The 15,950-nt window shown below is 48.0% G+C and overlaps 1 protein-coding gene and 2 long non-coding RNA genes across 4 annotated transcripts in view, besides 4 other annotated features; 2 read left to right on the top strand and 1 right to left on the bottom strand.

The window, feature by feature from the left end:
- INKA2 (inka box actin regulator 2) overlaps nt 1-15,950 on the top strand; it is a 33,734-nt gene that overhangs the window by 205 nt on the left and 17,579 nt on the right. The gene's annotated exons all lie outside the window — the stretch shown is intronic.
- Nucleotides 84-10,276, top strand: LOC101928718 (uncharacterized). The gene is made up of 3 exons (NR_125963.1): nt 84-305; nt 2,339-2,495; nt 7,889-10,276. It is a non-coding gene; the product is annotated as an uncharacterized LOC101928718 (long non-coding RNA).
- Nucleotides 154-203: an enhancer, noted in NCBI's record as "active region_1509". NCBI's record gives its function as "activates an Ori minimal core promoter by ATAC-STARR-seq in GM12878 lymphoblastoid cells {active_cell/tissue: GM12878}" and the evidence as "EXISTENCE:reporter gene assay evidence [ECO:0000049][PMID:35858748]".
- Nucleotides 7,795-15,752, bottom strand: INKA2-AS1 (INKA2 antisense RNA 1). 2 transcript variants are annotated; one of them, NR_038951.1, is made up of 3 exons: nt 15,516-15,752; nt 11,064-11,218; nt 7,795-9,533 (listed from the first exon to the last, which is right to left on the bottom strand). It is a non-coding gene; the product is annotated as an INKA2 antisense RNA 1 (long non-coding RNA). The 2 variants fall into 2 exon arrangements; NR_038952.1 differs by lacking the exon at nt 11,064-11,218.
- Nucleotides 8,367-8,446: an enhancer, noted in NCBI's record as "active region_1508". NCBI's record gives its function as "activates an Ori minimal core promoter by ATAC-STARR-seq in GM12878 lymphoblastoid cells {active_cell/tissue: GM12878}" and the evidence as "EXISTENCE:reporter gene assay evidence [ECO:0000049][PMID:35858748]".
- Nucleotides 14,872-14,951: an enhancer, noted in NCBI's record as "active region_1507". NCBI's record gives its function as "activates an Ori minimal core promoter by ATAC-STARR-seq in GM12878 lymphoblastoid cells {active_cell/tissue: GM12878}" and the evidence as "EXISTENCE:reporter gene assay evidence [ECO:0000049][PMID:35858748]".
- Nucleotides 15,132-15,291: a silencer, noted in NCBI's record as "silent region_1192". NCBI's record gives its function as "represses an Ori minimal core promoter by ATAC-STARR-seq in GM12878 lymphoblastoid cells {active_cell/tissue: GM12878}" and the evidence as "EXISTENCE:reporter gene assay evidence [ECO:0000049][PMID:35858748]".

The following is a 15,950-nucleotide window of genomic DNA, read 5'->3' as shown; positions in this document are numbered from 1 at the left end:
CCACCGCCCTCTCGCCGTTCTTTGTGATGCGCCCGGTGCGTCACGCCCCCGTCTCGTGCTTCCGTTTTCCGTTCCGCTGGCCTGTCTCGCTTCGCGGCCACCTCTTCCCCAACGCTACCCGCTCCGTACCCTGACTCGCTGCTCCTCTGTGCTGGCAGAGAGCGCGCAGAACGTAGCTGGACCCAAGGGTTTATTTACCACATTGGCTGGTGTGTCCATCTGCTGTGCAACCACATTTATCTCCGGTGAGATAAACCCCATTTATCTCCTAGCAAGTCCCTGGCGCACAGTGAGCTCTGATAAAAGTACGTTGAATTGGAACCTGGAACTGGACTAACAGCTCCCAAGTTCGTATCTCCGCCTCAGATCTCCTTTTAAACTCTAGACGTGTGCATCCATCTGCCTCCATGCATCCGCCTCCATGCATCCGCCTCCGCATCCGCCTCCATGCATCCGCCTCCGCAGCACCTCCCTTGGGATGCCTAATAGACTCTCAAATGTTACATGCCTTCTGTATTGCTCCTTCCCCCATCATTTCATGCGTAGGCAGCTAGCAGTCTCTGCCACTTTTCCTTGCTGTGGTCTTCTGCTCAAATATCAGCTTTTCAAAGAGGTCTTGAACACCCTAAGACAGCTCTGTCATCCTCTCTGCTCCCTGGCCTTTCCCAGCACTCTCTTGTTTTGCTTTATTTTTTCTTTATGATACTTATACCTACCTGAAATTATATGTCTTCTGCCTGTCTCCCACACTCTATGAGGACAAGAACCTATTCTGTCTTGTTCTCCTCTGCATCCCTAGTGGGAAAAACAATCTGACACATAGGAAATGTTCAATATTTATCAAATGATTGAGCTCCTATAACAAACTCTTAGTCATCATGCCAAATTTAAATATTTCTGGACCTCAGCCATATTCATAATTCCAAATTTAGTTGTGTGGGGTGGCTCGCACCTGTGATTCCAGCTTCTTGGGAGGCTGAGGCGGGAGGATTGCTTGAGGCCAGGAGTTGCCAGCCTGGGCAACATGCAGAAACCCTGTCTCAAATTCTTAAAAAGTAAACAAATTTTTAAAAATACAAAGAATACCAAACTTAAATATATTCTGCAACCAAGCCCAACTTTGTCCATAGATTATAATGCTGGTCATTGTCCCTACCCCCTTGACACACACACAGTGATGGTCTAGATTCCATATGATATAGGAGGGGCTTTGACATGGTAATCCCATTGGAAGGTGGTCCTGAAGGTTTATTTTGCCTGGAAATGTACAAAACATTGAGAAAATGTCAACTATCCGTTTGAAGGAATGGAGACTGATGGTGGAGATGGCACTAAAGGTCCCAGCCTTCCTCTTAGTGCCCTCACCTCTTTTATCTGCCTAATCCCCAGACCACAAACCTGGGAATTATTCTTGACTCCTTTGCCACTTTCTAACAATTTACCAAGCACAAGTAATTTTGCCTCCAAATATTTCACCCATTCTTCTTCAGTCTCCGTAGAATCTGCCCTATATTTTAGATCCCTTTATCATCCTAACTCGCAAAAACCTCCTGAATGGTTTCTCTGGCCAGAGTTTCTTCTCTATCCCAGCCATGTACCCCACAGGTGCTGGAGTGATCTTTCTTAAGTGGATATCTTAAGCTGTTTGGGTCCAGCTCCAGATCCTGCTCCTTTTGATCCTGCTCCTTTTGATACCCTTTTTTATTCCCCACCCCAGGGTCCCACATCACACTATAAATAATTCCAGTCTGGCTCTTATGTTGTATTTGCTTGGTTACTTGTATGTGCCTCACATTAAATAAACTGTGAGCTTCTCAAGGACAGTAATTTTGTCATCCTAGGCCCTCCAGGCCAGCACCAAGCACCTGGTAGACCCAATAAACATTGAATGGCTGACACCTTCTTGCTCAAAAATCTCTTCTGGGTCTCCATGCACATAGCAGCGGTTCTGTAGAACTCACACCAATCACTGCTGAAGAACCACAGGATTATCCCAAGAAAAGCAAAAAGACTACATTTCCAGAAAACATTTATAGTTTTATAGGCATTCTGTTACTGCATTTGTTGTTTTTGATGTTTTACAGACACAAATATTGCAGTAATGTTATTGGGAACCATGGTGAATAACACAAATTTTTTTTCTCACTAGTCAAAAGTTATAACAGTGTTGTTGACCATAATTTTTAGTGCTATAAAGATCTCTTGCACAAAAGCAAGAAATCATTTAATAACTAGGTAAGGTGTGAGCATAACACATACAGAAATGGGCTTGATTGTGTCTGTCTCCCAGCCTCCCCCGGGATAAATAACAGTGGGATCCCTGTCTCTTCTCTGGCAGAGCAGCCCATCTACCTCCTCCAACCAGACCCAACTAGCCCAGATGCTTAATTCTCCATGACTTGTAACACCTCAATACCTTTGTATTTGCTGTTCCATCTACCTGGAGAGCCTTTCCAGGGAGCTAGAGGAGGGAGAGATTCCTATGAACTGAAAAGGTGAGAGTGACACTTAGACTCAGAATGGGTGTTAAGATTCAAATGATCTCATCCAATCATTTTGCACTGGAGGCTTCTGAACCCAGAGGAAAAGAAAACAGGCCAGGCGCGGTGGCTCACGCCTGTGATCCCAGCACTTTGGGAGGCCGAGGTGGGCGGATCACAAGGTCAGGAGATCAAGACCATCCTGGCTAACATGGTGAAACCCTGTCTCTACTAGAAAAAAAATACAAAAAGTTAGCCGGGCGTGGTGGTGGGCACCTGTAGTCCCAGCTACTCGGTAGGCTGAGGTAGGAGAATGGCGTGAACCCGGGAAGCAGAGCTTGCAGTGAGCCGAGATCACACCACTGCACTCTAGCCTGGGCAACAGAGCGAGACTCCGTCTCAAAAGAAAAAAAAAAAAGAAAAAGAAAACAGTATAAAGGAAGGCATACTGTAAGGTGGCCCACCCTGGGTGTGAGGATCGGTGGGGGAATGTGGAAAGAAGGGAAGAAAACTTAAGATTTTAAAGCCACTTTTTCTCATTTGACCCTCAAAGCAACACAAGGTAGGCAATATTATTATTTGCATTCAATCTACAAAACATCTCTAATCATTCAACAAAAATTTTCTGAACACCTAGTATAAACCAGCCAAGTGCTAGAGATACAAAAATGGAACAAAGTAAACAGAGCCTCTGCACTTGGGGAGACAGATGCACACAAACAGGTATCCTCATTTCCTGTATAAAGTGCAGGGTGCTACTGAAGTCAAGGAGGTAACCAGATGTGGGGAGCCAAGAAAGACTTAGCCATCAAGATTAGGTTTGATTGAAAGTAAGGCCCCAAAATAGGAGCTTACCTCCCCAAGATAGAAGTTCATTTTGCCCTTGTAGAGAATTCTGGAAGCAGGACTGATAAACAGCCCTGATCCACAAAGATCCCAATCACCCAGGCTTCTGCCTTGGTCCCCAAACAGTTGCTGTAGTTCCAGTCATCACGTTTGCATTGCAGCCAGCAGGAAGGAGGAAGACTCAAAATAGAAAGTAGAAATGGTAATGGTCATCATGCCAGCAGTCCTTTTAAGAAATGTTCTCAAAAGCTGCCACACTATCTGGCATTTCTTGGAAAGAACTTAGCCATAAAGTTATACCTTCTTGCAAAAAAAAAAAAAAAATCTGGGAAATGTCATTTTTCTGGACAATCACGTGCCCAGCTGTACACTGATTTGAGAGGAGGTCCATTACTATAGAGGAAGGGGGAAAGGACATTGGAGGCAACTAACAGTCTCTGCCACATCTTCCTAGCATTAGTGAGAGCTACAGTAAGTCTGAAAAATGAATCAAAGTTGGCCTTGTGACAGAGGAGGGGAAAACGGAGGTCTGGAGGTGAGGACCACCATAGCACATTCTAAAAGAGCTTAGAATGCAAATGGGACAGTAAGCTTTGATGAGCAGGAGAGTGAAGTGTAGGCCAGGTTGGTGTCTGGACTTTATCCTAAAAGCCTTCTACATGTCAGATGCCGAAGGAGATGCTGCCCTCAAGTAACTCCTCAGAAGAAGATTAGTAATCTGCTCAAAGTCACAGAGCTCATAATTGGGATTGGAACTCAGATCTATTTGACAGCAAAGTCTAGGCTCTTTCTATCCTCTGTCCTAAAAGAGTTGACAGCCCAGCTGGGGAAATGATCAAGCATGAAATATGCAAGTAGCACAAGCTGGTGTAAAATCATATGCAGTACTGACATTTTTTCAGGGCCTTAGTTGTTCAAAGTGTGGCTGTCGTGGGAGAGAGTGAGAACTTCTGAGAAACTGAGGAAAACAGCTTTTGGTATTCAAAGAGCAATAGCTTTCTTCTCTATGTCCTTCTCCTCCACACCCCAAATCAAAGTTGCTTCAAGTATGTATGGAAGTATGAGAGAACAACTGCACATACAAGATCATTGTTTACCTAATTCCTGGAGTCCAGCACTTCTGCCAAGACAGCAGCACCAGGAGACAAAGCTCAAGTCCTGTGAAGCAGTGGGGGCTGATACCCTGAGCTTATCCTGAATAAGGCGTTCATCAGGCAGTGGGAGTGGAAAGAGAGCTCACCAGGCAGACAAGTCTCAGAAAGATATTCTAGGCACAGAGAACAGTTTGTGTAGAGGCGTGGAAGCATGAAAGCCATAGTTGTTTAGGGAAGTTAAGTCTTTTACTGTGAGTAGAGGCAGGTATGGCAGAAATGACCTGGACATGAGGATGCAGAGATATACTGGCCCTATATTAAGGAGCACCTCATCCATTATGCTCTTCCAAAGGGGGGTAGTGTTATTTAGCAGTAAAGAGAAATACAGCTGGAAATGTAACTTGGGGCTTGGGTAGTGGCAAAGCCGAGCAGTTTGGATCTTAACTTGCAGACTTTGGAGCATCACCTAGGTTTGGGATCTAATATGAGGCAAGTAATGGAAAGGCCCACAACACACACTGTTTCTTAGATCTAGCAGTTCCTAGGACTTTAGGTGTTGGTACACTGCTTTCCAAGTGCCAGTGCCACCCCTATGTACATGCTGCTTATCCAGCAAAGCACAACTAGCTTATGCTTCCTAGTTGCTTTGCCTAGCCACGGGTACTTTCATTGTTATATTCTTGAGCCATCTGTTCAGTGAACTGGCACCATCTATAAACTTATGTTGTATCAAGTTTATCAAGAAACAACTTCTGCCCTTCTAGATAGAATGTATTATTTCATGACCCTGCTCAATCCTAGCTGGCTACCTCCCAACGTGGAAAATACCCATTTTTACATGTGTCTCATGGCTTATGGGGTGACTAGCCTCAGGAATTAGGAAAGAGGGAGAACTAGCAAAAGCCTGAGCCCATGCCCACTGCACAGCCACCCCCCACCATGGGGATTGCCTGACTGGCTTTGGAAGAGAACCCCAGGTGATCCTCCCTCAGGCTTCAGACCAGATTCCTCTCTGCACAAGGCCCACATTGATTAATTGTCCCATTTAACACCACTGCCTCAGTCTTTAGGGAGGAAGGTGGCGTGTTTGCTCTTCTTTCGAGAAAGGGGCCCAATTTATTCTTGTCCAGGCAGCATAATAAATAACCTGCCCCTTTTGGCAGGGAGTTTATTAGAGACTGATGGGACATTTAACAATAACTGGGGGCCTATGATTTATTAGGGAGGTTCATGGCATCTCTGAAGACGGAATGTGGAATTTAATTGATAAAGCGGCTGTCAGCAGCAATGAGATGCACTCAATAGAATATGCATTTGAGGGATCCTCTTTGGAGCTGTCAGGAAGGGTTTCTGCTAATCATATTCAGCTCCTGTGGATGGTGGTGTCTGCTGGATATCTGGGTGAGAGACAAATGGCAGGGAGGGGAACTCTGAATGGGGCTCAGGGAGGGGTACACCTGTCAGTTGCCTGCTGACCGATGGAAGAATGTGACACAAAGGAGCAAAAAGAAAAAGAATTTCTATCACCCTAAGTAAGGGCTTCCCTTGAAGAGGCCTTTGTCTCTTCTCTGAGCTGATTAGGAGAACAAGAGGTGCTGAGCACCCACTTCCTGAAAAGAGAGGGAAATGAAAGGGTTAAATGACAACAAAAGAGATTTGTTCTGGAATTTTGAACTGTCTGCACCAGAGACTCCCCTGCCTTGGCTCCCTAGCACGCGCGCGCGCGCACACACACACACACACACACACACCCCAACACACACAGCATAGTTACCTCACACCCACACAGCTGCCCCTGAACCCCTGGCTCAGGTGGCATCTCCTCTTGTCACTGCAGCTTCCACACCAAGAACAGAGCCACAGAAGCTCAGATGGATGGGGCCTCGCCTTCCTGTTGTTGTGGTTGTCTCCCAGCTCCGGAGACCCCAGAATCCAGGCCGAGAACCTGGAAATAAATGCTCGTGGTCTGGAGTACATAGAGCATGCAGCTATCTTACTTCTCTACCCACCCTCCACCCCAGTTTCCTGACAATAAGGGAGACTGGTTTTATCTCTGTGGGGCCATCAGTGATGGCACAGCTCTGTCCTCAGGCAGCCTTGAGCCTTTGCAAGGCAGCTTCGCTCACATTTTCTATTCCCTCCACCCTTTGGGCTGTTACTCAGCCTTAAACAAGGCCATGTAAGGTATGGAGAGGGGCTTTCTCAGGCCAGAGCCTGTTTCCCTCCTTTGATCCTCCCGCATCTATTCTTAGGTCCCAAGAGATTGGTCTGCCTCCTTGTTCCCTCCAGGGAGTGAAAGGGAAGGGGGAGGCAATAGCCAGGAAAGAAGAAGTAATTGTCACTGTCTAATCTGAGCCTCGGTGGTGACACTGAGGGACCTCTGAGCAGGATGGATACAGCAACTGGGTTGATTAAATCAAACCTCTCCCAGAACCTTGTTAAATTAAACTGACAGGCCCAGAACAGATGAGGGAGAGCAGCAAGATCATCGCATCAGGTCAGGGGGAGGGGAGGCAAGGGTAGGATTGGTAAGAAGATCAGACAGAAGCAGAGCATCAGCCTGCCCTTTTTCTTATTTGCTGACTATAGATAGGAGGTGAGATTTATGGATGTGAGATGCTTAAGTACCTGTCTGAGCACAGACTGTAGAAACTGACACAGAAGCAAACTGCTGCCTCCCAGTAGGCCTGGCAAATTCCTTTGGCAGGCAAGCCACATTTAGAACCGTGCTCTCGACATTTCAAAGGGCCTTTGCATACTTTACCTTCACAAGAAGGTAGCAGTGGGATTATCTGTCCCACTTTACAGTTAGAGAAACTGAGGCATTAGAGATTACAGGGCCAATCTAGAGCCAGCCCAAGAACCCATATTTCCTGCCCTGGCACACACTGCCTCCAACATTATGCCAGATGGCAGAATTTCCTAGGACTTAGTCCCTGGAGTGCCATCTTTTCTTCCACCCACTAGAAATGAAAACCACACAGCTTGCTTCATGGGCCGTCAGGAAAATGCTAATTCGCAACTAGCCTAGCGCAGCCCACCTGCAAGCACATGGCTCACTTACAAGGTCACAAGGCCATTGTAACATCTTCATATTACTCTCCCACGTGCCCAAGCCCTTCCAAGTCATTTCTACTCTACCTAATTACATTTCATGGAACAGGGAGAGGTGGGAGAGATATTGTTAGCAACACCAGAAACAGCAATAGTAGAAGGATAACACTGATACCCTGGTGGCTTCCTCACCTGTCACCCAGTTCTTCACCTGCCAAAGCTAATTTTCCACTCACCAGTGGGTGAGAGCTCATTTCAGACTGTCTGAACCACACACACACACACACACTCACACACATATATGGATACACATTGTGAATAATGCCTCACCCAGGATGTCCTTGTTCTATTTCAGATGCCTTCAATGTTGTGTTTATTGACACATCCACCCCTTTCCCATTTCTTTTTCAATAGGGAGGATACTGGGATGAGGATGCTTGTAATGTGGTGCACACTGATTACCAGAGCACAGCTGAGATACTGTTGGGTCCTGTCTCCTCCCAAAGCACACATCACATCCCAGGGTGCACACCAGTAAATGATCAGATTCTGGACATGGGGAGCCAAGGACAGGGGAAGGCAGAGAGAGGAGCAGAATTGCAACCACTGTCGTCATGAAGGAAGCTAGGTGAGAGAGCTGGCACAAGGTGGCAACATTTGCATGAAGAGGACAAACAACTGGAAATACCACCAGGGGGCGTGTGTAGCTGTAACACACCAGTCATGCTCTTTCCCTACAGTTACCAGGCGGGGTTTGGTCACTATGCATAACCTGAGAAAGATAGACAAACAGCAGACAGATAGATAGGTTGGGGGTGCTTAGATAGACAAATATCACCAGCCTCCTAAGCTCATCCTGGTGTTGTGATTGGCCACACCAAAACGTAACATCTCCAGTCTATCTGATATCATTGAACAGGTCTCCTCTAAGGCAAGGAGTTGGATTCCCCTAGAACACCTGCCAAAGTGCAGTGGAAGGGAAGGAGGTCTTGCCTGGGGGCAGTGGTCACTGGGCCTGGGTTTCTGTGCTGATTCTGCCCTTAGCAACCTGGGTGACCTAGGGCAGGTCACTTAACATTTCTGCGCTACACTTTTCTGACTTGTAAAATCACATGCTTGGGTGGCAGATGCAGACTGTTAGTAATTTTTAAACTTTAGAGATCACGGAGGAGAAAACTGAGATCCAAAGAAGTTAAATTACTTGTCCAAAGCCACTTGATGTGGGAGTGGAATGACCGAGAGGATGTGGATTCTGGAACCAGAGCCAGTTCCACATGATGGTTCCAGCACACCCCTCACACTGCCCTCTGGTGATCTACTGTCTCCTCATCTCTTCCTCCTCTGCAGAATGGAGGAATAGCAGCACCTACCTCCCAAGGTTTTGGAAGAATAAATGAGTACCTGACACAAGGAAAGCCTCCAATATATGTTAGACTAGGCCTATTTTTAGTGATGAACCAGAGGCTCATACCCACAAATCTTTTCTTCCAGTCTTTCTGTGAGGCCACATGCCCTGATGAAGGTCCTTTTCAGCTCCCAAATTCTATGATTCTAAGTCAGAAAGATTAAGATGCAAGTTATTTCCAAAACCCTCCAGGCAGAAACACAAAAGACTATTTGAGAGATTCATTATTCACTCTCTATTGCCTCAGTCACTTTCTATGGATGATGATTCATGGAGAATAATCAACAGCAGAGAAGATCTGTTCAATGCTAGGAGAGAAGGCAGTAAAGCCGAAACTCCTTCGCGTGTTCAGTTCCTATTCTCCAGTATGCATCTTCACTTGTTAAGCGGCGGCAGCATTTCTTGGCCTCGCTGCCTTTCTTCTCTGGGAATTTGAGGTCTTCTCTTGGTATAGACTGTTGCTAGTGCAGTCACTGCCCACCCGGCACCACTCCTCAAAATGCCAGGGAGAAGGTCCTGCCTCTCTGGCCAAGCAAAAGCCCGCACAGAAGCAGCTGTCACCAGTGGCACTGGCTCTTCTCAGGGTGTCCAGGCTGAAATGTTTAGCATGCCCAAGGTTGATGTCTAATCACAGCTACGAGAATTCTCTGGCTCCTGAAAAACAACAGAAGAGACTTAAGAGCCAGTCTGGTGGAAGCAAACATGCAGACAGCCAAACCTGAGATGTGACCTCTTTTTCTCCTCACCCCATGGTCTCAGGAGGAGAAGCAGGTGGCTTTTCTTTCCCTCTTGCTAATATGTCTCTCCCTGGCAAGCTGCCAACCACTGGTCCTTGCTTACAGCTAGCTAGTGGAGATGGCCAAGTGGTATGTGATAAAATGAGCCTTTGCTCTGAGTTCCAGGCCATGGTAAGGTTACAGGGCAGCCAGCACTGGGCCTCTGGAGTATCAGATGTTACAGAATGTCCCAGGAGAGTCCTGGGTATGAGCCATTTTCTTTCCTGGTACAGTTTGCATCCACCATCATTAGTTTGCACAAATACCATATTTCCCTTAGGTGTGCCCTGGCATTCTTCACGTGTTCTTCGTAGTTCAAAAATATTTGCTTTTCCTGGCCCAACACGGTGGCTCACGCCTGTAATCCCAGCACTTCGGGAGGCTGAGGTGAGCAGATTGCTTGAGCTCAGGAGTTCAAGACCAACCTGGGCAACATGGCAAAACCCTGTCTCCACAAAAAAAACCATATATATATATACTGGGCATGGTGGCATGTGCCTGTAGTCCCAGCTGCTTTGGCGGCTTAGGTGGGAGGATCACCTGAGCCAAGGGAGCTCAAGGGTGCAGTGAGCCGTGATCACACCACTGCACTCCACCTGGTTGACAGAGTGAGACCCTGTCTCAAAAAAAAAAAAAAAAAAAAATATATATATATATATATATATATATATAATATCTCTGTGTGTGTGTGTGTGTGTGTGTGTGTATATTTGCTTGCCTTTCCAGTAAATGTTTGCAAAATGGAAATACTTGCTTCCCAAGTAGCAATGAGATCTTTGCTTAGGCACCATAAGCACCAAGCCCATAGCTCCAAATTATTCCATATAGAAGTGAGTATCAGCCCACAGACTACCTGTTCATTATTTGGACAAATCTAATTTTGCACTTGAAAACTGTTCAGATGAGATAGCCTGGGAGCCATTCATACATGAAGTTTACTCAAAATACCATATTGCTATTTCTTCTTCTATCACCTTCCTTCAGTCCCTCTCTAAAAAGTTTCAGCAACTCTGTAACTGATAGCCTGATCTTGAAGCCCAGTGACTTTATAAAGAAGTAAAGGTTGTGAGAGTGGTGGTCTAAGTTAGCACTATGGGTAAAAGCACGAGGCGGGCAGATCACGAGGTCAGGAGTTTGAGACCAGTCTGGCCAATATGGTGAAACCCCGTCTCTACTAAAAATACAAAAATTAGCTGGGCGTGGTGGCGCACACCTGTAGTCTGCACACATGTAGTCCCAGCTACTCAGGAGGCTGAGGCAGGAGAATCGCTTGAACCCAGGAAGCGGAGGTTGCAGTGAGCTGAGATCATGCCACTTACTCCAGCTTGGGCGACAGAGCGGGACTCTGTCTCAAAAAAAAAAAAAAAGAGTGATGGCAATTCTGTGGATGTGGAACATCAGAACTCACTTCCTCAGTGGCTTTCATCATTTCAATAGTCCACCTTAGGGCACATCCCTCCTGCTTTCTGAAGAGCAGAATAGCTGAATGAGTGCTGTGCTGAAAACTGGGAGACCACATTCCGTCACCATACAGACCAACCTTTTTGGGTTGAGTTGCTCCATCTGTAAGAGAATGACAACCTTTGTTTGAAGACACCCAAAGTTCATGGACCTTTTTATGACTGCAGTCTTTGATTCCTCCACCCAGTCCAAAGGGTTTTTTTAATTTTTAATTAAAACCCGAAGTGATTATTTCTTTTGGAACTGAGAGGGTTCCCCAACACACAGGCCACTTCATCCTCTCAGCTGTCCCTCCTGGTATTGGAATTACAAGGGTCAGAGGAGCCCAGTCCTGTGTCTAAGGTGGACAAAGGAAGATGTCATGAAAGCTAGGAGTTGGATGCTTTCAAGAATAGCTGGGCCTCAGTCCAGTTCCTCCCCTACCATCCCAATGTGTTCCCACACAGACACGTACACAGTCTCTGCTCAGCACCTCTGGGCCAGCCTGTCAGGCAAGGTCCTCTCCCTAGAGAGAAACAGTTCCGCAGTGATATCTGAACACATTCCAACAGCATGTGTTTATCTCTAGGGTCAGCCTTTCCTGTTGATGATCAGGCAGCATGTGGTGGGTGATGGGATTGGGGTAATAGTTGTTGGCAGCCACAGTCGGGGGCAAGGAATGAGGGCACTGGGGATAGGGCCCCTGCCCTTGGGAGGGTGATGTTATGATGAGGTTTCCAGACTGGTATGTGACCACATATCTCTCTCCTTGCACCAGGATGTGCTGTCCAGCTCTCCTGTTGCCAGTAGAGATGAGAAGCTGGATACTGCCTCACTCGGGTATGTCTTCCAGAGCTGGCTAGGACCTGGTGGATAGGGACCTCCAGGTGGGTGCCATAGGATCTGGAGCCAGGAGAATGGTGGTGTTTCCATTATTTAATATAGGATCTGAGCTCCCTTGGGACACAACTGGTTCTGCCTCTTCATTTGAGCTCATTGATAGGTGCCAGGAGCTTCAGGCTCTGGCAGTGGGACAAAGGGGGCCACCTTCCCTGGCTAGGTTAGGCAGTCAAGTCCCAAGAGTTGACAGCACTGGATACAGTTTCCAGGAGCTGCACCCTCTCTGTCAGGTAAAGTACCGACCACTGGAGGGCAAATGGCTACGTACCTTCTGAGGGTTCCACCCCAGGTCTGAACAGCATTAAGAAGGTATGTTCACAACCAATCCCAAGACCTTTGATTTCTTTATTATTTATTTTCGAATGAGATAACCTCATCCTTCCTCCAGGCTGAGTTTCGGAGGGGGGTGGGTGGAAGGGAGGAGGCTGAGCCATCTGATTCCTCTTCAGCAGAAATGAATCACGTCCCCCAGCCCCCATCCCCAGCCCAGAAATATTTATCCATGTTTATATAACCATGGCAACAGGCTTTATTCTCATCACTTAAATCCTTTTTTAAAAAGAAAAAGCAGAAGGCAGCTATTTTTCCTACTTTTGCCACCTGCCTGCTCTGCCCAGATGAGAGTTACCTCTTCAGCAACAAGGCAAGAGAGAGACTGCCCCCCAACACACACACACTCCTGGGGTAACGTTGGCCTTCTCAGAAGCAAGGGAATACGTAAGTTGCAATGGCCCAGCACCATGAAAGGACTTCAGAGTTAGACAGTAATTGTCCTCCAAAGTCTTGTGGGAACCACACAGTGATACCACCTCAGACTTGTCTAAAACTTCTCTTTTGAGCTCTGCACTGGTATTATGATTATCAATTTGTTTTCTTGCTATCTCTCTCTACCTGAAAATGGATGGAATGTGAGCTGGCTTTGCTAACAATACATTCTTCATCTGTAAGATGGGGTAAACATTCCCCTGCTCCTGACTACTTCACAGTTAGTTTTCAGAAGAGAGTTATTTTTTTGAGACGGAGTCTCGCTTTGTCACCCAGGCTACAGTGCAGTGGCGCGATTTCGGCTCACTGAAACCTCCGCCTCCCGGTTCAGGCGATTCTACTGCCTCAGCCTCCTGAGTGGCTGGGATTACAGATGCCCGCCACCGCACCAGGCTAATTTGTGTATTTTTAGTAGAGACGGGTTTTCACCATATTAGCCAGGCTGGTCTCAAACTCCTGACCTCGTGATCTGCCCACCTCGGCCTCCCAAAGTCCTGGGATTACAGGCATGAGTCACTGCGCCCAGCCCAGAAGAGAGTTTTGTAAGGAGTATAAAGTATTAGACTCACAAAGGTTTAAACCCATAAGCAGGGGAAACTGATGCCCAGTAAAAGGAAAGCATTTGTGCAAGGTCATACTCTGTTGTCAGCAGCACAGAAGACCCAACCGCCCAGTCCTAGGTTCTTGCCAAGAGATCAGCCCACTTCTTTTGGATTTTCAACCTTAGCCTCCCAACTTCCAAGTGGATTCCAGTCCATGAAGTCTCAGAGATGGAGAAAACTGGGGCTTAAGCTTGACCCTAAAGACTATTTCACCAGGCCAGGCACGGTGGCTCATGCCTGTAATCCCAGCACTTTGGGAGGCCGAGGCAGGCGGATCACCTGAGTTCAGGAGTTTGAGACCAGCCTGGCCAACATGGTGAAACCCCGTCTCTACTAAAAATACAAAAATTAGCCAGGCGTGATGGCATGCGCCTGTAATCCCAGCTACTCAGGAGGCTGAGGCACGAAAATCGCTTGAACCTGGGAGGTAGAGGTTGCAGTGAGCCAAGATCACACCACTGCACTCCAGCCTGGGAGTGAGGCTGTCTCAAAAAACAAAAACAAAACAAAAACACTATTTCAGCCACAGATCCACAAATGTTTACTCAGAGTTTCTTACATCTGACTACCGTGCTGGAGACTGGAGATGGAGCAAAGCCAGGCCCTTCAAGTTGGGGAACCCTTTTGTGGTGTTTGTCCCCATTGAAGTCCCCCTCTGTGGACTATATGTCAATGCTGGGTCCTTTCTATCCCAGTCCCATAGTATTCAACTACAGAACTTCTTCAGCTGGACTGGAAACCACAGCTGTGTCCTTGGGGGCAGCTCTCACTCTGAACATCTGGTGGGTCCCATAGAAAGGGATCTCTTGGAGAATTTCTGCCCACAGCTGCAGAAAAGGCAGGAGGGCCAATACTGCTCAGACTGGTAGGACCAGAGTTGCCTGGGCTTGGCCAGCGGTCACCGACCAAGTTCAGCCCATATTGTGCCTCTTTTTTCTTTTCTCTATCCATTGGCTACAGCTGCCCCAGCTTCGCCCAGAGGGACACTTGGGGCTAGGCTGAAAGGTGTAGGCAAGGGCTATTGTGTAATTGAGGACCTGGGGTTGTTAAGTGGAGGCCATTCAACTGGACTCTGCAAACTCTTCTAAAGATTAATTCTGTTTCTCTCTCTCACCCTCCCTCTCTTCCCCTCCATCTCTGTCCCTCCTCCCTCCCCGCGCCATGTCTCTGTGTCTCTCTGTATCTATCTCTCTCCTCTTCCTCTCCCCTGTCTTTTTTTTTTTTTTTTTTTTTTTTTTTTTTTTTTTTTTTTTTTTTTTAAACGGAGTTTCTCTCTTGTTGCCCAGGCTAAAGTGCAATGGCCCGATCTCGGCTCACTGCAACCTCCGCCTCACGCTTTCAAGCGATTCTCCTTCCTCAGCCTCCGGAGTAGCTGGGATTACAGGCATAGGCCACCACGCCCAGCTAATTTTGTATTTTTAGTGGAGACGGGGTTTCTCCATGTTGGTCAGGCTGGTCTCGAACTCCTGAACTCAAGTGATCCACCCGTCTCGGCCTCTCAAAGTGCTGGGATTACAGGCGTGCGCCACCCGCGCATCTTTCAATAGTTAGCATATCTGGCACTTTTGGCTGCCACGGACGGACCGATGGCGGCGCCGGCACCGTTCGTGCCTTCTCTGGTGTTCTTACAGTTGTCCCACTCAGAGACCTCTAATCCTGCCTGGGGCAAACTTTTCCCCGTTAATTACCTTTTAACAACACGTCGCTAATTGCTTAATTACTCTCCGTGCTCTCCGCCACCGTCCCCGGCTGTCCCGGCCGGGCGCGGCGTCTCCGCGCTGGGAGGGAGCAGCGCTGGCGGGCGCGGAGCCCGGCGTCCAGGGCTGGGCTGGGAGGAGCACCCCCCACCGGTCTGCGGAGCCCATCGGCCTATCGAGCCTATTGGCCGCAACTCCATCCTCCAGGGCCTGGCTGGCGCTCGCCCGGCTCCTTTTGAATAACAAAGGAGCGTCCCGGCCTTAGAGCGCTTCGCCAAAGGCGAGAGCGTCAGCTAGGTTGACTGACGCCGAGCTCTGGGGAGAGAAAGGCTTGTTCCCTGCCCACCCCACTGAAGGCCCCAGGGAAAGCAGCCCGACCCCCTTACCCCGTTTCATGTTTTCATAAAAATCATTGTCTGAAATTACCGTGCTTACCGTGTGTGTGTGTGTGTTTACCTGTTTATCTTGTCTCCCCTTCTCTCCCATGTAAGTTCTTGAGAGCAGGGACCTCGCCTGTCATACTCAGTATCCCCAGCCCTACAGCCTTGCCAGGGGCGCAGCCGACCCTCGGCGGCTTTGTGTGACAGGCGTGAACCGGCCAAGCGGCGGCGTCTCTGCTCCGCCCGCGAGGGCAGGGCTGCGAGGATTTCACTCTAGGAGTGAGGCGGGAGCCACCTTCCCAGGGTCCTCTTCGGGGAGAAAAGAGCTTCTGAGGGACTTCTGGGGATGGGAGCGGAGTGGGTGGGGGTGTTTCCCTTCCTGATCGGAGTTTGGGAAAAGGGACTGACACTATGGCACTCTGCCTGTTACTGAGACCGCTACCCAGTCCCTCCCCGTAAAACTGTGCTCTCCCTTTATGACCACACGAGGGTCACGTGCTTCGTTGGGGGC

This window comes from Homo sapiens, chromosome 1 (genome assembly GCF_000001405.40).
Source record: "Homo sapiens chromosome 1, GRCh38.p14 Primary Assembly".
NCBI classification, from domain to species: Eukaryota; Metazoa; Chordata; class Mammalia; order Primates; family Hominidae; genus Homo; species Homo sapiens.
The sequence above is the reverse complement of the archived record's forward strand: the minus strand, read 5'-3'. Positions and strand labels throughout refer to the sequence as shown.